Source organism: Homo sapiens, chromosome 4 (genome assembly GCF_000001405.40).
Source record: "Homo sapiens chromosome 4, GRCh38.p14 Primary Assembly".
NCBI classification, from domain to species: domain Eukaryota; kingdom Metazoa; phylum Chordata; class Mammalia; order Primates; family Hominidae; genus Homo; species Homo sapiens.
This window is the reverse complement of record NC_000004.12, coordinates 63,508,429-63,530,943: the sequence shown is the minus strand read 5'-3', so window position 1 is coordinate 63,530,943 and position 22,515 is coordinate 63,508,429. Positions and strand designations below refer to the sequence as shown.

At 31.4% G+C, this 22,515-nt stretch overlaps 1 long non-coding RNA gene across 3 annotated transcripts in view; it reads left to right on the top strand.

Moving 5' to 3' along the window:
* Nucleotides 1-1,202: 1,202 nt before the first annotated feature.
* Nucleotides 1,203-22,515, top strand: part of LOC105377253 (uncharacterized) — a 66,503-nt gene continuing 45,190 nt past the window's right edge. For all 3 annotated transcript variants that reach the window (NR_188408.1, NR_188407.1, NR_188409.1), the window contains exon 1: nucleotides 1,203-1,287. This is a non-coding gene — a long non-coding RNA (uncharacterized LOC105377253). The remainder of the gene's footprint in view (nucleotides 1,288-22,515) is intronic.

Sequence of the window (22,515 nt, the reverse complement as noted above, 5' to 3'; positions counted from 1 at the left end):
AGAGCAATAATAAATGTGTTATCAGTGAAATAATTGCTCCATTGTGGCTTCCTCATTAAAGACCATAAGTCAATGAGCTGTGAAAAAAAAAAAAAAAAAAAAAAAAAAGAATCACTATGCATTCTTTTTTGTTTTCAGTTACCTGAAGCACCTTTTTTAAAAAAACACTTTCTATGTACCTTTTCTTTTTTCTTTGTTTTTAGTGAGTCTTTTATATGCCATATAATTATGTCTTCTTTGTGAGTCAAAATAAAAATCTTTTTTTTTAAACAGGTGAGTTAAGCTCATTCTAACTTATTATTATGAATCATAAGTTTTTTTCTCAACTCTGTAATAATATGTTATCATTTTAAAACTTTTATTTGCTACATTTAATTTTCTAAAAATGTGTATTTTTTCTTTATTTGTGTATTTGCTTGTTGTATTTAGAAAGTTTTGTATTTCTTCAAGTTCTTTACTTTTTACTTATGTTTTAATGTCTTTAAATGTTTAATGACTTACTTTATCAGTTTATTGTGATATCCTATAATACACATTTGCTTATATAAAAATAAACTTTTCCATTTTCTTTTTTCTATTGCCAAAATATATTTATTTTAAAATGCTTACCAGCTTTTTAAGTCATTACTTAGTTGAATAATACTTATCCTGTAACAGATTCTTCAAGAAAGCCAAAGGGGAAAGACTTTCCTAAGTCTGAAATGTGCTGAAAACATTTTTTTCTCAAAGATTAATATTTAAAAGACAGATGAGGTACATGTAACATCTGTGGTTCACATTTTCTTTCATTTATTCATACTCTTTTAATACTGCCTCATTGCTACCTCCGTTTGCCTCCTGGTTTTAAAAAGTCTCATGCGTGTCGGCTACTTTTGCTTTTGTAAGTTATTTTATTTTCTTTGTTCCCTGGATGTCATCATACATTTTTTCTATTTGAAATGTAATATTTTTACTATAATATGATTTGAAGTTAATTTTTCTTGGTTAATTTTTTCAGGTATCTAGTAACCACTTTCAAATCAACAGAATTATGTGATTGTTGCTGTTGTTTCTATTTCTGGAAAGTTTCTTGGAATATACTCACATAGTTTCACTCTGTGCCTCCACCCAAATCTCATCTGCAATTGTAATGCCCACGTGTCAGGGGAGGGACCTGGTGGAAGGTCATTGAATCATAGGGACAGTTTTATCCCATGCGGTTTCTCCATAGTGAGTGTGTTCTCATGAGATATGACAGTTTAAAAGTGTGTGGCAGTTCCCCCATCTTGCTCTCTCTCCCGTCACCAGGTAAGATATGTCTTGCTTCCCTTTGCCTTCCACCATTATTTTAAGTTTCTTGAGGTCTCCGTAGCCATGCAGAATTTCAAGTCAATCAAACCTCTTTTCTCAGGTAGTTCTTTAGAGCAGTGTGAAAATGGACTAATTATATATATATATATATAAATATATTCCGTAACCATGCAGAATTTCAAGTCAATCAAACCTCTTTTCTCAGGTAGTTCTTTAGAGCAGTGTGAAAATGGACTAATTATATATATATATATATTTATATATACATATATGTATATATATATATATATACACACACACACATACTGTAATTTGTTTATATTTTTGCATTTAAAAAATCTTTATCTTTAGTAACTGATAATTTAGACACTTTTGCGTCTTTGCCAATTTTCCATTTATACTAAACCTAACCACTTAAAAAAATTTTGGGGGGGGTCCTTTTTCTTCTCTTGGTTGCTTTTCTGCATTTTAATGTCCCTTATTTAATTTTATATGAATCTATTCCTTTTGGGGACTTATACAATTTACTATGATTTCTAACTTTATGTTTTCTTTTACTTTTCTGATGTCAATAAATTATCTTCAATACTCATTTTTGTCTACTTTTTATTTTTAGTTTTTGAATTTCGAATTCAACATGTTTTTACATCCTCGAAAATTGATTATGTATAACTGTTCTGTTGACTTACATTTTCTTCTTCTTTAGGGTTGTTTTTAGTGAATACTTTTTCTCCCTTTATATGTTTGGGATGTTATTTCCTGATGTTCTGCAATTGCTGTGTAAGGACTTTACTTTTTTCTTACTGATTTTTATAATGATAGAATTTTTCAAAAATTATTAGTTTAATGGTGCCCTCTTGTGTCAGAAGCACAAAGCCCAATTACTTTAACACATATATTGTTTAAGTTTGTTTGGGGGATATGGGAGGTTTTGTGAGAATGCCCAATTTATGGCTTTCTTTTGTCTCTCAATATCTTATTTTTTTTTCTTCCACAATTGCTAAATGGTGTTTTTTTTGTTTTATTTTTGTCTATTTTTCCCGCACACATAATTTATGTGTTTCAACAACTAACCTTTAAATCATAAAACTCTTTACAATTGAGCTGACTTCTTTAAATAGCACTTGTAGCTTTAAAGTGTGCTTTTTCAAGTGGCTAATTTGAAATCTCTGTCCTGTCGACCATACTCTAATTTGCCTAGACAGTTTTCCCGTGTTTTTGGGTTTAGAGTGAATTTAATCTTCTCGGTGGTTATTAAATATCCTGCTCAGATTCCTTTAGTAGTCTACTCTTCTACAGATTTTCTGTCTACATTTGCTTTTCATGAATTCCTGAAGCTGTGCTGCTGTGGAGTGGTAGCCCAAGATGCTGCAAACAGTAATTTGTTGGTATTTCAGTTTTACTCACTGTTATTTTGTAGTTTAATATGCTCTGTCTTTCAGTTATGCCAAGTGTACACCTTAATATTGAAACTCTTTTTCCTATCTTGTTCTTTCCTATTAAGTGGCAAAAATATTGGGAGACATGTTTTGTTATGCATCCAACTTTGTCCTTCCATACATATCTTATAATCTTTTAAGAGTGACACTTCAAAAAGGAATTAGCCTTAAAAAAAATTTGTCCCTAGAGCAAAAAATAAGATTAGAAAATCAAACAATGTGGCCTTAGGAAAGTTATTCATCATTTTAGTGCACCGGTGTCCTCATCTATAAAATGTAAATAATAATAGTGCCTAACTCATAGGGATTATTACAAAAACTACATAAAATAACAAGTCTTTATAATATTACCAAATACATTTGTTGGTAACACATTAAATTTTATCTTCTCATAATCTTTAGTATTATGTTAATTTTTACTTCAGTGAAAAGAACTGCAGTTATTAAAATTAATTAATATTATGATACATGTATATATATATACATTAAAATAGTATGCCATCAAATAATATTGAAATACATCAAACTAGGATTTTTTAACATAGGTTTTTAAAAATTAATATAATACTATGTCTTTTAATTTACAATTGAAAGTGCATAAAATTCATTACACTACTTGCATCTTTAAGAAAATACATTAGAAATGTTCAAAAAATATATGTGTATATATATATAAAGGCAAAGCTCAATGAATTTTTTTGGCAAAATATTCCTATTTATTTTATTTTTTGAAAATAAATAAAAGTGTTTAAATTGCAATAAGTTCACAAAATATTCTTTTGAAACAACAGCTTCAAATATCATATTCTAAAAGAAAATTATGAATAGCTCTGTTTTTACAGTGGTTTCTTCTTAGATATTTGGTTTTATTCATGTGTTTTATTCACTGATTTGTTTCCATGCTTTAGGTATTCAAATTTCGATCAGTATATATAGTTAAACATTAAAAGTAAATAAATAAACAACTGACTTTGACTCCCATTCACCTTCCATTTGCTATTTTTAAGAAATCAAAGTCTATTTTTACTATCTTAAATAAAAATATATATTTTTACATATTTATATATCATACTGTAAAATATTCATAAATATATAAGATTTTATAAGATACAGATAATAGATTTATATGTGTATAGTTCCTGCTTAATAAATAACAGAAATAACATTTGAAAAACATAAATATTCAGTGACAGATTATATTCATAACATGAATGAAATTAATCTCTGCTAAAGATTTTAGTGTACCAAATGTTAACATATTAGTTTGACAAAATTAAGTTGAATAAATAATGTGAACTTTCTTCTTTTTTCAATCGAATAAATTTTTTAGACACTACTTTGTAGATAACTATTTATTTACTTTAGATTCTATTAAAAGAATTTATTATGAATGTCTGTTATAATTGCAAGTTTAAAATTGTATATATTTATGGTAGAAAATGGTATATGTATACATATGTTTTAAGTATATATTGTAAAATGACTACCACGGTTAGCTAATAAACATGTCTGTCACCTCACATATTTATGTTTGTGTGTGTTAAGAACATTTAAGATCTGCTCTTTAACTATTTTCAACTATACAATACAGTATTATCAATTATAGCCATCATGCTTAACAATAGATCTCAAGAATTTATTCACCCTATCTAACTGAAACTTGTATGCTTTGGCTAACAACTTCTCATCCCCCTTTCTTTCCAAGGCCCTGGTGCCCACAATTATATTGTCAGCCTCTGTAAGCTTCACTATTTTATATTTCGCAAATGAGATTGTGCAATAATTTTCTTTCTGTGTCTGACCCATTTCACTTATCATAATGCTCTCCAGGTTAATCCATATTGTCACAAATGGCAAGATTTAATTCTTTTTTTAAGGCTAAATATAATTTGATTGTGTATATACACCAAATTTTTAAACCATTCATCTGTTGATGAACACTTAGATTTGTCTCAAATCTTAACTTTTGTGAATAATGGTACAAAAAGCATGAGAGTGCCAATATCTTTCTAACATATAGATTTCAGTTTTTTAATCTATACCCAGAGGTAAGATTGCTGAATCATAAGGTCGATCAATTTTTAATTTTTTGAGGAGACTTACACTGTTTTCCTTAAAGGCTATACTAATTACATTCCAACCCATCATGTACCAGGGTTGCTTTTTCTCCACAACTTCACGATTTGTTCTTTTATATTTTATACATATTTTAAAGTACACAGAATTCAATTTCAAAATTGTAATAACATATACCACAAGACTGAATAAAATCAACAGGAAACACGATTTGTATAAAACATATTTTCTGAATGTGCAATAAAACAAAAGTCTCTTCAATTGTGAAATTAGTCCCTGCATCATTTTTGTTGTGCTTCACTGATAAAGGAATAATTTCCAAAATTATGTATTTTGCCAAAACCATTGTAATATTTTTATATAAATTAACAAAAACCACAGAGCTATGCACATAACAATCTTAATATTGTACTTCTGAGCCCATCTCAGAGATGACTAACAGTGAAAGAAACAACAATTCTTACAATCTTAACCATATTATTCTACTTACTTTATAAAAACGGTCTAATGATTACAACTTACAAACTTTCACTCAATTGACAACTTGCTAATAAATGGTAAAACTGCAACCAGTACACATAATATTTTTATTATAAAACTGTCAGACTGTAAACAATATTCTATACACATTTTTGAGCAAAAATCCAATTCAAGTTTTATTTTGTTTTCTGAAAATGACCTTAGTTTTCTTCCTTCTAATCAAATGCATAAGTATAAATTACTTTTGTAAAGAAATATAGATATGCAAACCTAATATTGGAAAAATGTCAACCTTAATAGTTTTGTTCATTGTTTTAATATGTATTTGTAAAGCATTATTTGTTGCGTATGTTTTTAGATAATGTAAATTGATATTTACTTTGGAAATTCTTTTAAAGCATGCATGATAACATAAGTAATTTCACTAGTGGTTTATTTATAAATGCATTATGTATATATGTATAAATGTGGACTATCTCCTGATTCATTAAAGAGAGAGCTGATGTTCTATATTTTTGCTCAAACTATCTTTTAGCAGGGAACTTGTAATACATAATGCATTTTAAAATTTCAGAAGGAGTATGAATATTAAAAAGTACTCATTCCACTGAGGAAATAATGACCTTGAATTTGATGGCTGGTTATTACAATTTTGTTCTGTTTATGGTATCATATAATTTTATAGATTTTGAAATATGCACTGTAAGCATTACTCTATACTATTTGAATTATTTCTTATAAATGTCCTGTTAACTTCATATAAATTCAAATGTATTCTCAGTTATAATTTTTTTCTTGTAAAGTAAGACCAGTCAACTCACTTTTCCCATAGACGTTAAGAGGAAAAAGAAATTAATTTCCTAAACAACAAGACATAATTTTCTTTGTGATATAGAGTTAGCCATAATTATTTTTTCTATTTATATTATCTAAACATTAACAAAATACTATTTTTCTTTGATATACAATAAGCTAACAAAATTGCAATTAAATTTCCCTTTGAGTAGGAGTTGTTCAATAAAAATTAGTTATTAATTTGGGGTTTTTAAACATGCCATATAATGTATGAAATAATGTATAGAACCATTAGCTGATGGGCTTATAAGAAACCTTCCAATATAGCTGTCTTCTAGGGGAAAGTGATTATTTCAGATTGCTCCTAAAGAAATGGAACTCAATTGTTCACTTAACATCAGTCAAGTTAAGAGAAGCTCATTCTTTCCTAAGGAAGATTACACCCAATAAAAGACACTCGTTCTCTGGAGAGCTGTTCTCTGTGTTTAAACATTTTAAAATTTCCATTCATTCGTTTATCCTGAATCATTTGGCACCATGACTTTTTTTATGGAGCTACGTGGTAAATAGCTGAAGAGAGCCCTCAACACTGTTTTATTTCCAAAGTAAGCTTGCCCAGCAACTTATATTTTTTCATAATGATGGTGATGTTTTCATTGTTCTTATGAGGAATATTACTAAATCAATGTCCCTATTAACGTTTGGAATTAATAACCCAAAGCAAATGATGCTGGAATTTGATGTCCTATGTAGTTCTGCAGCTTAAAATTGCTTCTTTTTTTTTTTTTTTTAAAAAAAAGCCAAACTACCTTTTTAAGTATAAAACAGTCAATATTTAACATTTTAATTTTCATTTGGTTATTTATATTTTCAAATTATATACAATTCTTCCTTATGTGCTTTATAGAATTGGTTCTTTCAGCTTCAATGTATAATTTGATTCTATAGAGAATATAAACCATAAACAAGATTCATACCTAAAAATTTCAACATATTCATTTGAACAAAGAGAATCCAAAGGTAAACAATGATAATTACAATATATATTTTACCAAAGCAGCAAATAAAATACCATGAAAATGCTGAGAAAATAACAACTAATCTGGTATTATTTACACTATCAGCCTTGAAAATTCACACTAATATGGCAATCTTCTTCATGTAGTGATAATTTGCACACCTGGTTCATTGTGTTACTCAACATCTATATTTTTAAAAATTATTCAGAGTGACTTCAGTGTCCATATGGATGACTCTTCCTTAATCCTGTTTTTACACTTATTTAATAATTCATTTCTCATGACTGATTTCACCTCATCTCTAACAGCAAAAGAAAAGTCATAGCTTTTTATTAGCATTGTCTGATATTGCTTAATCTCTCAATAAAATACAAACTCATTTCTCTGCAAATATAAACTCATATTTTACTTGTTCAATTATCCCCATTACAACTATTATTCAATTAATAAATAAGTTAATATTCTTCTTAACTTTACCTGCAATTTGTTTTGCAGTGTTCTTATTTATTCTAGGTATCTTTTGTTGTTGAGTAAAGTATACAATTTTTAAATGTAGCCTCATAAATAGAAAAAAATTTGAAACCTAAATAATTAAAAATTTTGGTAGATGTGAAGATGAAATACTGAAGCTTCAGAGGTTATTGTCTTCAATTCTCTCTCATTACCATTATAGAAAGAGATTTTCTAATGCAATAATAACAAATAAAAGTTATTTTATTCAACTGAGTATCTTGTTAATATACAAGATGACGATCATGCTAAAATGGATAAGGACAAAGTTGGAAATATTTAAAATGTAAAAATTACCTATTTCATTATTCTTGTTTTCTTACTCAAAATGCTTAACCAAAAATGAGACTTTAATTTTCATCACTATTCTGATAAATTTTAAGTTATAAATTTGGCCACAACAGTCAAACTGTCTTTCAAAAGTATAGGAACCAAGTTGCTAGTATATTATTGTTCCCAAAGAACACCACTGTATTAGAAACTAGAGTCAAATGTGCTTTACTTCTTAGTTCTAAGTTTACTTTCAAATATTATATATATATATATAATTATATATATGAACACTGTCAAGAGATATGATTCCAGCATATTACCTTCTATATCTTCCTGGAAATAGTGGTGGTAGTGTGAAAAGAAATCAATGTTGTGTAGAGATTTGGAAGCAGACACAGTTTAGCTGAGGGGTCCTTTGACTCTTCACAATTATGTCCACTACATTTTACCCAAATTTCTATAAGTTGTTTTTAATTTTGCATACCCAAATATTTATTTATTATTTTCTGCCCTATATCTTGGAAATCTTTTTTAATCCTTGCAAATATTATTTTTTCCTAAAATTTGCTTTGCTATTAATACAGCTATAACAGCCTTCCTTTGTATAATGTTAACATTGTATATAACTTTTTCTATCTATGCATTTAAAGGTTTGCTTTTTTATGGATTTCCAAGTTTTCTTTTATTGTTTTTTTGTTTTGTTTTGTTGTATTTATTTGTAGGCAGGATATAAGTAGGTGCTGCTTTTTAAATACAATCTCACAAGCCCTATTTTTATTTGCAATATTTAAACAAAGTACATAGAAACAGATTTTATTGAAACAGATTTCAGTATATCATTCTGCTATTTTCTTTTCCTCTTTTTCTGTGTTGTTTTGTAGTAATTGAGCATTATTTTACTAAAGACAGTTTTCTGGACTTGAAAGGTCAATGTCTGGATTATTTTTATTTTTTGCATTTGGATGCCTAGTTGTTTCAGCATCATTTGTTGAAAATACTATATTACTTCCATTATATTACCTTTGCTTCTTTTTCAAAGATCAGCTAACTGTATTTATGTGGGTCAATTTCTTGGCTCTCTATTCTGTTCCATTAATCTATATGTGTATTATTTTGCCTGTATTACACAGTCCTCCTTAGTGTAGCTCTATAGGGAGTATTAACATCAAGAGTGTTAGCCCTCAAATTTTTTCTTCTCCTTCAGTATCGTGTTAGCTATTTTGCATCTTTCCCTCTGCAACATACACTTTAGAATCAGTTTGTCAATGTCCACAAAAAAAACTGGAATTTTAATTGGGATTGCATTGAAACAATAGGTCAAATTGGGAAGAATTGACAGACATCTTGACAATATTGAGTCTTTGTTGGGTTGATCAGACCTAACACCAGGCTGTGGGGGCTGGTGGAGTCAAAGGAATGAGACGACAAGAGTGCATAAAGTGGGACCAGGGGGCCAACGCTAGCATGGAGGCTGCAAAGTCCCCTGACTCTGGAAGCCCAAACTATTTATTAGTGATCAAACAAAGAATCAGGTGGTGAGGATGTGAAGGTTGAAAGAAAGCAGTGTATCAAGTGCATGATCTACAGCTGTGATGGTTTAGCATTTTCTCTGAAGCATATGGAACATGTTCTGCTACTTGAGGTAATGGGAAACATGTTCTAGTTTAAGATACAATTGATCTATGAACCTGGGAGTGCTAGGAGCAAGGAGCCAGCAAGTCTAGACACATTCCAGAGGCCACAGGGGGTTTTATGCCCTGAGCCCTGGATTCCATCCAAGCCATGAGGCTTTTTATGCCCTGGGCTTAGATTGTGGTGTGGCGGGGCACCCTTCCACCCTTTTGCACAGAGCTTGGTGTTCCAAAGGCCACAAGGGGTTTTAGACCCTGGACCCCAGACATGTTCCAAGACTCTTTTACATTATGTCAGACATGCAAGCCCTACCTCAGCATTTTTCCCAACACTCAGCTTTTCCCCAACAAGTCTTCCTATTTATAAACATAAAATGTATTTCCACTTGTATAGTTATTTGATTTTATTAATCAGTTTTATATTTTTTCATATAGATCTTGTATACCATTTTTACATTTATACCTAAGTATTTCATTATTTAGGATGTTAATATAAATGTTTTATTAGTTTATTTTTAAATTATTTTTTAAATTTCAAACTGCACTTGTTTGTTTCTTATATTTACAAAGAAACTTTTTACAGAAAGCTATGAATTTTTTGTACTGACTTTGTATGCTAAATCCTTGCTATAATCACTTATTAGTTCCTAGAGTATTTTGTCAATTCTTTCAAACTTTCTAAAGGGATGATCATGTCATCTGTGAATTAAAAAATATATTTATTCCTTCCCAATCTGTGCTCCTTTTACTTCCCTTTCTCATCTTATTTCATTAGCTTGAACTTACAGTATGAGATTGAAGAAGTGGTAAGAGGGGATAGTCTTGCCTTAACTTAATGAGAAATCTTCTACTTTCTCATCATTAAGTATGAAGTTACTTATAATATTGTTTTGTACATACACTTTATTAAGTTGTGGACATTTTCCCATATTTCTAGTTTACTGAGAGATTTTTTTTAACATGAATGGTTGTTAAATTTTGTTAAAAGCTTTTTTGCATATATTGACATGATCATGTGATTTTTTTTAGCTTATTGATATAGTAAATTACATCAATGAATTTTCAAATGTTCAAATTGCTTTGCCTAAATGAGATAAATCCCTCTTGGTTGTTGTGTGTAATTCTTATACACTATTGAATTTGTCTTCATAGTATTTTTTTGAGGATTTTTGCATCTATGTTCATGAGAGACATTGGTTATAGTTTAGTTTTTTTGAAATTTCCTTGTCTTATTTTGTTATCAAAGTAATGCTGGTCTCATAGAATGAGTCAGAAAGTCTGCTTCTGTCCTCTGAAAGAAATTGTAAAAACAATTGGAGTAACTTCTTTCTTAAATGTTTCGTAGAATTCTTCAGGGAATCCATCTGGGCCTCATGCTTCCCATTCAGAAAGATTATTAGTTATTTTTTCAGTTTCTTCAATTAAATTGTCTATTTCTTCTTGTGTGAGTTTGGTAGATTGTGTCTTTCAAGGAATTAGTCCAGTTCCTACATGTTATCAAGTTTGTGACCATGAAGTTTTCTGTAGTATTCCTTTATTCTCCTTTTATTGTCCATGGGATCTGAAGTGATGTTTACTTTTATGATTTCTGAAAGTAATTTGTCTCTTCTCTTTTTTTATTTAGATAACAAGATAAGAGTTTTATCAATTTTATTGGTATTATCAAAGCATCTGCTTTTGGTTTTGTTGATATTCTCTATTGATTTCCTGTTCTCAATGTCAATAATTTCTCCTATGATATTTATTATTTATTTTCTTTTGCTTACTTTTGATTTAGTTTGCACTTCTTTTCTGGTTCGGACAGGTGGAAACTTATATTATTGGTTTTAGATTTTTGTTTTTTTCTAATATATGCATTCAATTATAAAATGTTCCTTCTAAGCCCTACTGTTACTGTACCTTACAATTTTTATGTTGTTTTGTCTTGTATTTTTATTTTTCTTTAACTTGATATATTTTAAAATGTTTCTTGCTATTTCTTCTTTAGTCTGTGTGTTATTTAGAAGTGTGTTGTTGAATGTCTACATATTTGGAGATTTTAAAATTTATCATTCTGTCATTTATTTCTTGTTTAAATCCAATGTTTTCTGAGATTAAATATTGTGTAATTTTTATTATTTTAAAATTTTAAGTGTGTTTTATGGCCCAGAATATGATCTATCTTAGTGAAACGTTCCACATGAGCTTGATAAGAATGTGTATTCTGCTGTTGTTGGGTAAAGTACAAGCCTACCTCATCAATATTTCTCATATCATTCCAGACGACTGTGATAAAGTGAGTATCACCATAAAATGAGTCAAACAAATTTTTGGTTTTTCAGTATACATAATAGTTATGTTTGTACTATATTGTAGCCTATATGCACAATAGTATTATTTTGAAAAAGGACATATTTTAATTTAAAAATATTTTGTTTTTAAAAAATGCTGACAATAATCTAAGCCTTCAGTGAGTCTTAATCTTTTTGCTGATGAAGGGTCTTGCATAAATGTTGACTGATGACTAGTCAGGGTTGTGGTTGCTGAAGTTTGGGGTCATTGTGGAAATTTAAAACAATAAGATAACAATAAATTTTGCCACAATGACGGACTCGTTCGTGAAGGATTTCTGTGTTGCGGGAAATGCTGTTTGATAGCATTTTACTAACAGAACTTGGATTCAGTCCTCTGAAACCTTATCATTGCTTTACAAACTAAGTTTATGAAATATTCCAAAATTTTTATTGTCATTTCAACCATGTTCACAGTAACTCCATGAAGACTAAATGCCATCCCAAGAAACCACTTTCTTTGCTCATCATCATAAGCCACTCCCTATTCATTTAAGTTTGATAGTGTGATTAGAGCAATTCAGTTACATCCTCAAGCTCCACTTCTCATTCTAGCCCTCTTGCAATTTCCACCACTTTGCAATTACCTCTTCCACTCAAATCTTATATCCCTCAAAGTCATTGACTTTGGGGGTTGAAACTGACTTTTTTCAATCTCATGCTAACATTGACATTTTGACGTACTCCCATAAATCATAAATGGTCTTCATTACATCTAGAATGGTGATTCTTTTTCACAAAGTTGTTAATTTACATTGCCTAAATTTATCAGAAGAATGACTATGGTTGGTATAGCCTTACAAAATATACTGCTTAAATAATAAGACTTGAAATTAGAAATTATTTTTTGATCCATAGATTGTAGAATAGATGTTGTACTGGCAGACATAAAACCAACATTAATCTCCTTGTAAATCTCCATCAGAGATCTTGGGTGACTAGTGTCACTGAACAATAATATTTTATAATAATTGTTTTTTTCTGAGCAGTTGGTCCAAGAATGGGCTTGAAATAGTCAGTAATCTATGCTGTGCATAGAAACGCTGTCATCCAGACTTTGGCAGTTCCATTTATAGAATATAGGCAGATTAGATTTAGCATAATTCTTAAGGTCCTAAGATTTTCGAAATAGCAAATGAGCATTGGCTTCAGTGTAAAGTCACCAGCTGCCTTATTCCCTAACAAGAAAGTCCAACTCTGAAGTTTTAAAGCCAGACATTAACTTTTTCTCTCTAGCTGTAAAAATCCTCAATGCCATTTTCTCCTGTATAAAACTATTTTATCTACACTGAAAATCTGTTCTTTAGTGTAGTCATTTCATCAATTATCTTAGCTTGATTTTTCTGGATCACCTGCTGAAGCTTCTATATTAGCATTTTCTGCATCACCTTGTACTTTTATTTTATGAGGCAGCTTGCTTTCTTAAATCTTAGGAAACAACCTCTGCTTTCAAACTTTTCTTCTGCAGCTTTATTGCCTCTCCTACCCTTCATAGAACTGAAGACAGAGCCTTGCTCTGGATTGGGCTTTAGTATATGTGAATGATGTGGCTGGTTTCATCTATCCAGGCCACTACAACTTTCTTCATATTAGCAATCAAGCTGTTTTGCTTTCTTATCATGGGTGTGTTCATTAGAGTGTCATTTTAATTTCCTTCAAAAACTTTATTTTGCCTTCACAACTTGGCTAATGTTTTCCTGCAAAAATACTAGCTTTGGCCTACTTGGCTTTTGACATGCCAAGCCTAACCATTTCTAGCTTTCGATTTAAGGTGAGAGAAGTATGACTCTTCCTTTCACTTGAACACTTAGAGCCCATTGCAAGGTTATTAATTGGCCTAATTTCAGTATTGTTGTGTCTTCAGGAATAGGGAGGCACAAGAAGAGGGAGAGAGATGAAGAAAAATCTGGTCAATGGAGCATTCTGAACACTAATAACATTTATTTTGCCTTATACAGGTCTACTTCATGGTACTCCCAAATAATTACAAGGGTTATTAAGGTCTCCAATTACAATAGTGAATTCATCTGTTTCTCCTTGCAGATCTGTAAGTTTTTGCCTCATGTTGTTTGATGCTGTATTACGCATACATGTCAAGTATTGCTGTGTGTTCTTGTAGCCTTGTCGCCTTTATTGTTAGTTAATGCCCTTTATCCCTAAAAATGTTTCTTGAAGTCTGCTCTGTCTGAAATTGATATAGCTACTCCCACTTTCTTTGGATTAGTGTTAGCATTATATGTTTTTCTTCCATTGATTTATAATCTTTCTCTAATATAAAACTGTTTTATCTACACTGAAAATCTGTTCTTTAGTGTAATCATTTTCATCAATTATCTTATCTTGATCTTCTAGATTACTTGCTGCAGCTTCTATATTAGCACTTGCTGCATCACCTTGCACTTTTATTTATGGAGGTAGCTTCCTTTCTTAAATCTCATGAACTAGCCTCTATATTTTTATTTAAAGTATGTTTCTTGTCAACAGCATATAACTGGGTCTTGAGTTTTGGTCTGCTGTGACAATTACTGTCTTTTAATTGATGCATTTATACCATTGCTATTCAAAGTGATTATTAGTATATTCTGGTTAATATCTACTATATTTATTATTGCTTTTTATTTTTTTCCTTTGTCTCTTTGTCATCTACCCTTTTTCTTTTGTGGTTTTAATTGAGCACTTTGTATATTTTTTTTCTCTTTCCTTGTCATATAAGTTATATTTCTTTTTATGTATTTTTTAGTGATTGCCTGAGAGTTTGAATATACCTTGAAAACCGGTAAAAGCCCACTTTCAAATAACACTATACCACTACATGGGTAGTATGAGTATATTCTGATAACAAAATAATTCTAATTCCTCCCTCTCATCTTTTATGCCATTACTGTCATTCATTTTACTTATATATAAGGATATATAACATATGTTTATATTTTTTATATATGATACATACATAAGTATATATAATTGAATACATATTGCTATTTTTATTTTGAATAAACCATTATATGTTAGATCAAGGATAAAAGGTTTTTATTTGTTATTCACTTATTCTTTATTTGATGCTCTTCTTTTTTCAATGTAGATTCAATGTCCCACATTAATAGATCCTGTCTAAAGAAATTCTTTTAACCTTTTTTGCAAGGCAAATTTGTCAATAAGTGACTTCAGTTTTTATTTTGTTTAAAAAAGTATTTAGTTCATTTTCTGTTTTCAAGGGTAATTTTTTAGGACACATAATTCTAGGTTAGATGTTTGCTCTCTCACTACTTTTAAATACTTCAGTCTACAGCCTTGGTTACCAGATAGTGCAACTGACTCTGAGGGAAGTTAAATATAATTTTCATTTTTATTTTATAAAAGGTATTTTTTCTCCCTCTAGTTTCATTCAGGATTTTTTCTCTTATCTTTGATTTTCTGTCATTTGAAAATGATATGTCTATATATATATATATTTTGTGTTTATCTTGCTTGATATTCTCTGAACTTCTTGGATTTGTGCTTTGGCGTCTGAAACAAATTGGAAGAAATTACCTGTCACATGTTTTCAAATATTTCTTCTGTTTTTTTCTCTCTTTTTTTTCCTCTAGTATTTCAATTGCACATATATTAAATGTTTTGTAGTTATTCCAAAGCCCTTAGATATTCTCTCTTTTTTTTTCAATCTTCACTCTCTTTGGTTTACAGTTTTGAAAGTTTCTATTCTAAGCTCAGAGATTCTTTTCTGAGCCACACCATAAGTATAAATAAGGCCATTAAAGGCATTATTTATTAATATTTCTGTTACAAAATTTTTTATCTGTAACATTTCTTTTTGGTTCTTTTTTTTAGTATATCCACTTCTTTACTGATTTTCCACATGTATTCTTTCATGCGGTCTACTTTATCCATTTGACCCCTAAGCATATTATTCAGAAATATTTAGAAATATTTTCAATTCCAGGTCTGATAATTCCAGCATTCCTACCTTGTTTGGTTTTGCTGCTTGCTCTGCCTTTTCAAATTGTTCTTACCTTCTAGTATGCCTTGTTTTGTTTTGTTTTGTTTTGTTTTGCATGGCTGAGCATGATGTAGCAGCTAAAATAAACTGCTGTAAATAGGCTTTTAATAACATGACAGTAAAGTATGGAAGGGAGCAGAAAGCCTTCTGTAATCCTATGATCTTCTGATTACATCTCAGTCATTTAGTGGGCCTAAACGTCTGTACTAGAAAATTCACAAGTGTTTCTTATTTTTTCCTTTTATCCTGAGGTGGGGATTGATAGCTAGAGTGGGGTAGAGTTCAGTATTTTCCTTCCTCCACAGGAAAGGCTAGAGCCAACTGGAATTGGGTATTTCCCTTCTCCCAGGTTAGTCTGGCTTTTATAATATCCCGCCAAGATAGGTTCTGGTCAAATAGTCTTTCCTAAGACAGACTTTCCTAGTAAGAACAGAGTGTTCTGGCGTATCTTAAAATGCTTGCTTTTCTCCTCTCCTTGCCGGAAGCGTAAAGAGATCCCCCCACCCCAATACATACCATGATAAGCTGGTCAAGTTCCTGGAGGTAAAACTCACAAAACTGTGGGGCCCCTTGGGGTATATAACTCTACGGCTTGTCCTAAGTGAGCCTCCAAAAATTTGTCAATTGCAGTTTAAGTTTTCCCATCCCAGTGCTGATTTCCTTGGTGATTTCCATTTTTTAGTCTCTGCCCCAGTAAGCCATGATTTCCTATGTTTTTCTGTCTGACTCTCCAGTCTTGGTTGCAGCCATTCTTCCTGTATCCATATCTCTCTTAAAGATCCCAGAAGAGTTGTTGATACTTCAGTCTGTTCATATATTTACTTGTTTTAGTATGGATGGTGACTTGGGTGCTCCTTACATGCAGAGCCAGAAACCCTAATGACTACCATTACTTTTTATAAACTTTCACTTTTTAAAAAATTTCCTTATTAGCCTGAGCACTATAGTGTAATAGGATAAAGCCACAAGTCTAAGGATCTCTTCTTTATTTAAAAAAAAAAATATATATATATATATATTTCATTTGCGGTCTGTTTTATCTTTACTGGTTTTATTTTATAAAGTTTGTTAAACATTTTATTGTCAAACTATAATAGTATCAAATTTTCTGGAAGAGCTATGTGCACTGCAGATGAAAGCATATTCTATATTCTCAGGAAGTAAGGGTTTTGGGGCTTGAGTATCCTTTGCTTTATTTCAAGGTGGCAGTCTCCACTTTTTTATTGTTTGGACTTGTATAATAAACCTTTGTCATTTTCTATTATCATTGCTTATTTAATTTTATTTATCACTTTGCTTTATAGATTTTTCTATCTACAGGACATATCTAGAATTTGTATATCAGAGTTCAGTTAACAAAGTAAAACCGCTAGGACTGATATGAAACAAAGTATTTATTATAGAAATTAGATCTTATGGATTTATGAGATCCAGTGACAATATCTATAGAAAGCTCTTTTATCTTTTTATTATGGTGAGCCTGAAGTCACTGAAGGTCAAGAGTAGCAGTAATTACAAAGAGAAACTATACAGAAAGTAAGAGAGTGTGTGAACCAATTAGATCCAACAAAGAAAACTAGAACTAATGAGGTCAGAGTAGAACTCAGTTATGATTCTCATGAACTCTAATTGTAGCAACACGACCAACTTACATCACAGCCTTTTGCCCTTTGTCATGAAGTTGTACATATAAATGGTTCAAAATCAGAGAAGAAGAATGGAGACATTAAAAGGTCTCTAGAGAAGTTCAGACTCAGCTTCTGCCTTATGCCAACAAAGTAAGTCAGATTCTGGTACTCCACATCAATCTTCAGAGCTTAGGACTAGGGCTCAACTTCCCCTTTCAAAGATAATGAAAATTTCTCTGATAGTAAATCATAATATTTGTAGCTACATGGACATGTACTTTCAGTTTAGCTAAGTATATAAAAAGAAAAAGAAAATAATTAAGTATTTATTTGACTAGATATACATACACACACATTGTGCTGCATGGCAGACATACTGATGTATAAATTATTTTGGCCATTTTAATATATAAAAATCCAAAAATATATTAATGTTATATATATTTAAAATGAAACCGGCTGAGAATCTTAAAAGTCTAGAATCTATTAAAACCAATTTTACATTACTCACATTTATTAACGGAAGCCTAGGATGGAGAGAAAACAGCTATAATCAATATATAAGGCATAATTTAATAATAATGTAAATATTGTTTTTCAGAAAATTATTTACATAAATGTTGACTACAAAGTTAGCACAGATTAAAGTATGTAAATTTGAATCCGTGTGTTTTAAATTAGATAATACCTATCATACAATATATATGGGATGTGAAAAACAAAATATATTATTTTTAATATTTCAATGATTTTGATAGAATTATCAGTATTCCTTTTTATATATTAGTATACTGAATCTCAGAGAGGTTAAGTGTCTTGACCAAGTTTACAGAATAATTGGATGCGCCATGATGCAAATTCAAGACATCTTGGATTCAAAACCATGCCCTTTCCTCTATGCTTCCATGATTAGGTATAAAATAGATGAAGAAATATCATACATAATATTTACCATTTGTTTTGGAAGCTTAACATAATAAATTTTCAGTAAGTAAATGTATCAATAAATTATAAGGAATAGATACATGAAGTAACTCAGGAAATTGAAAATTGAAAAATATTATGAATAATTGTACATAAGCATAGGGATTCTTTTTTCTTCTTTTTTTCTTTTTGGTTTTACTTTAAGTTATGGGATACATGTGCAGAATGTGCAGGTTTGTTACACTGATATACATGTGTCATGGTGGTTTGCTGCAACTATCAACCCATAAGCCTCTAATGAATTAGGTATTTGTCCTAATGCTCTCCTTGCCTTTGGCCTCCACCCACCGACAGGCCAGGTGTGTGATGTTTCCCTCCATGTGTCCATGTGTTCTCATTGTCAACTCCCACTTATTAGTGAGAACATGTGATATTTGCTTTTCTCTTCCTGTGTCAGTTTGCTAAGAATGGTGGTTTCCAGCTTCATCTATGTCCCTGCAAAGGACACAAACTCATTATTTTTTATGGCTCCATAGTATTCCATGGTGTGTATGTGCCACATTTTCTTTATCCAGTCTATCATTGATGGACATTTGGGTTGGTTTGAAGTCTTTGCTATTGTAAATAGTGCTGCAGTAAACATATGTGTGCATATATCTTTATAGTAGAATGCTTTATAAACCTTTGGGTATATATCCAGTAATAGGATTGCTGGGTCAAATGGTATTTCTGGTTCTAAATCCTTGAGGAATCACTACACTGTCTTCCACAATGGTTGAACTAATTTACCTTCCCACCAACAGTGTAAAAACGTTTCTATTTCTCCACAGCCTTGCCACCATATGTTTCCTCCTACTTCATAATAATCACCATTCTAACTGGCATGAGATCATGAGCTTTTTTCATATGTTTGTTGGCCACATAAATGTCCTCTTTTAAGATGTGTCTGTTCACATCCTTAGCCCACTTTTTGATGGGTTGTTTTTTTTCTTGTAAATTTGTTTAAGTTCCTTGTAGATTCTGGATATTGCATCTTTGTCAGATGGGTAGACTGCAAACATTTTCTCCCATTCTGTAGGTTGCCTGTTAACTCTAATGATAGTTCTTTTTTTTTTTTTTTTTTTTTTTTTTTGCTGTGTGGAAGCTCTTTAGTTTAATGAGATTCCATTTGTCAATTTTGGCTTTTGCTGCAATTGCTTTTGGTGTTTTAGTCATGAAGTCTTTGCCCATGCCTATCTCCTGAATGGTATAGCCTAGGTTTTCTTTTAGGGTTTTTATGGTTTTGAGCTTTACATTTAAGTCTGTAATCCATCTTGAGTTAATTTCTCTATAAGGTATAAAGAAGGGTTCCAGTTTCTGTTTTCTGCATATGGCTAACTAGTTTTCCCAGTAGCATTTATTAGATAGCAAATCCTTTCCCCATTACTTTTTTTTGTCAGGTTTGTCAAAGATCAGATGGTTGTAGATGTGTGGTATTATTTCTAATGTCTCTGTTCTGTTCCACTGGTCTATATATATATTGTGGTACCATTACCATGCTGTTGTAGTTACTATAGCCTTGTAGTATATTTTGAAGTCAGTTAGTGTGACGCTTCCAGCTTTGTTCTTTTTGTTTAGGATTTTCTTGCCTATATGGGATATTTTTTGGCTTCATATAATTTTTTTTTTCTTGAGATGGAGTCTCACTCTGTCACCAGGCTGGAGTGCAGTGGCATGATCTCGGCTCACTGCAACCTCCACCTCCCAGGTTCAAGCGATTCTCCTGCCTCAGCCTCCTGAGTAGCTGGGATTACAGGTGTGCTCCACCATGCCTGGTTAATTTTTTTATTTTTATTTTTAGTAGAGACAGGGTTTCACAGTGTTAGTCAGGCTGGTCTTGAACTCCTGACCTTAGGTGATCCACCTGCCTTGGCCTCCCAAAGTGCCAGGATTACAGGCGTGAGCCACTGAGCCTGGCAAAAATTTAAAGTAGTTTTTTTGTTTTTTTGTTTTTCTTATTCTGCAAAGAAAGTCAATGGTAGCTTCATGGGAATAGCATTGAATCTACAAGTTACTTTGGGTAGTAGGGCCATTTTCATGATACTGATTCTTTCTATCCATGAGCATGGAACTTTTTTTTCCATTTATTTGTGTCCTTATTTCCTTGAGCAGTGCTTTGTAGTTCTCCTTGAAGAGGTCCTTCACATCCCTTGTTAGCTGTATTCCTAGGTATTTTATTGTCTTTGTAGCAAATGCAAATGAAAATTCACTCATGATTTGGCTCTCTGCTTGTCTTTTGCTGGCATATAGGAATGCTTGTGATTTTTGCACATTGATTTTGTATCCTGAGACTTTGCTGAAGTTGCTTATCAGCTTAAGGAGTTTTTGGGCTGAGACCATGGGATTTCCTGAATATACAATCATGTCATCTGCAAACAGAGACAATTTGACATCCTCTCTTCCTATTTTAATACCCTTTATTTCTTTCTTTTGCCTGATTGCCCTGGCCAGAAATTCCAATACTATGTTGAATAAGAGTGGTGAGAGAGGGCATCCTTGTCTTGTGCCAGTTTTCAAAGGGAATACTTCCAGCTTTTGCCCATTCCGTATGATATTAGCTATGGGTTTGTCATAAGTAGCTTTTATTATTTTGAGATATGTTCCATGAATACCTAATTTATTGAGAGTTTTTAATGTGAAGGGATGTGGAATTTTATCAAAGGCCTTTTCTGCATCTATTGAGATAATCATGTGGTTTTTGTCATTGTTTCTGTTTATGTGATGGATTATGTTTATTGATTTGTGTATGTTGATCCAGCCTTGCATCCCAGGGATGAAGTCGACTTGATCATGGTGGATAAGCTTTTTGATGTGCTGCTGGATTCAATTTGCCAATATTTTATTGAGGATGTTTACATAGATGTTCAACAGGGATATTGGCCTGAAATTGTCTTTTTTTGTTGTGTCTCTGCCAGGTTTGGGAATCAGGATGATGCTGACCCCCAAAAAAGAGTTTGAGAGGAGTCCCTCTTTTTTTATTGTTTGGTATAGTTTCAGAAGGAATGGTACCAGCTCCTCTTTGTACCTCTGGTAGAATTCAGCTATGAATCTATCTGATCCTGCACTTCTTTTTGTTGGTAGGCTATTACTGCCTCAATTTCAGAACTTCTTATTGGTCTATTCAGGAATTCAACTTCTTCATGGTTTAGTCTTGGGAAGGTGTCTGTGTCCAGGAATTTTTCCTATCTTCTAGATTTTCTAGTTTATTTACGTAGAGGTGTTCATAGTATTCTCTAATGGTAGTTTGTATTTCTGTGGGAACAGTGGTGATATTCTCTTTATCATTTTTTATTGTGTCTATTTGATTCTTCTCTCTTTTCTTCTTTATTAGTCTAGCTAGCAATATATCTATTTTGTTAAGTTTTTCAAAAAAACAGCTCTTGGATTCATTGCTTTTTTGAAGGGTTTTTCATGTGTCTATCTTCCTCAGTTCTTCTCTGATCTTAGTTATTTCTTGTCTTCTGCTAGCTTTTGAATTTGTTTACTCTTACTTCTCTAGTTCTTTTAATTGTGACGTTGGGGTGTCAATTTCAGATCTTTCCCACTTTCTGATGTGGGCATTTAGTGCTATAAATTTCCCTCTTAAACTAGTTAAGCTGTGTCCCAGAGATTCTGGTACGTTGCCTCTTTGTTCTCATTGGTTTCAAAGAACTTTGTTATTTCTGCCTTAATTTTTGTTATTTACCCAGTAGTCTTTCAGGAGCAGGTTGTTCAATGTCTATGTGTTTGTGCAGTTTTGAGTGAATTTCTTAATCCTGCATTCTAATTTGATTGCACTGTGGTCTGAGAGACTGTTTGTTATGATTTCCATTTTATTATTTTTTTTGCATTTGCTGAGGAGTGTTTTACTTCCAATTATGTGGTTGATTTTAGAATAAGTGCCATGTGGCACTGAGAAGACTTAATTTGGGATGTAGAGCTCTGCAGATGTCTATTAGGTCCACTTGATCCAGAGGTGAGTTCAAATCCTGAATATCCTTGTTAATTTTCTGTCTTGTTGACTTGTCTAATACTGACAGGGGTTTTAAAGTCTCCCACTATTATTTTATGGGAGTCTATGTCTCTTTGTAGGTCTCTGATAACT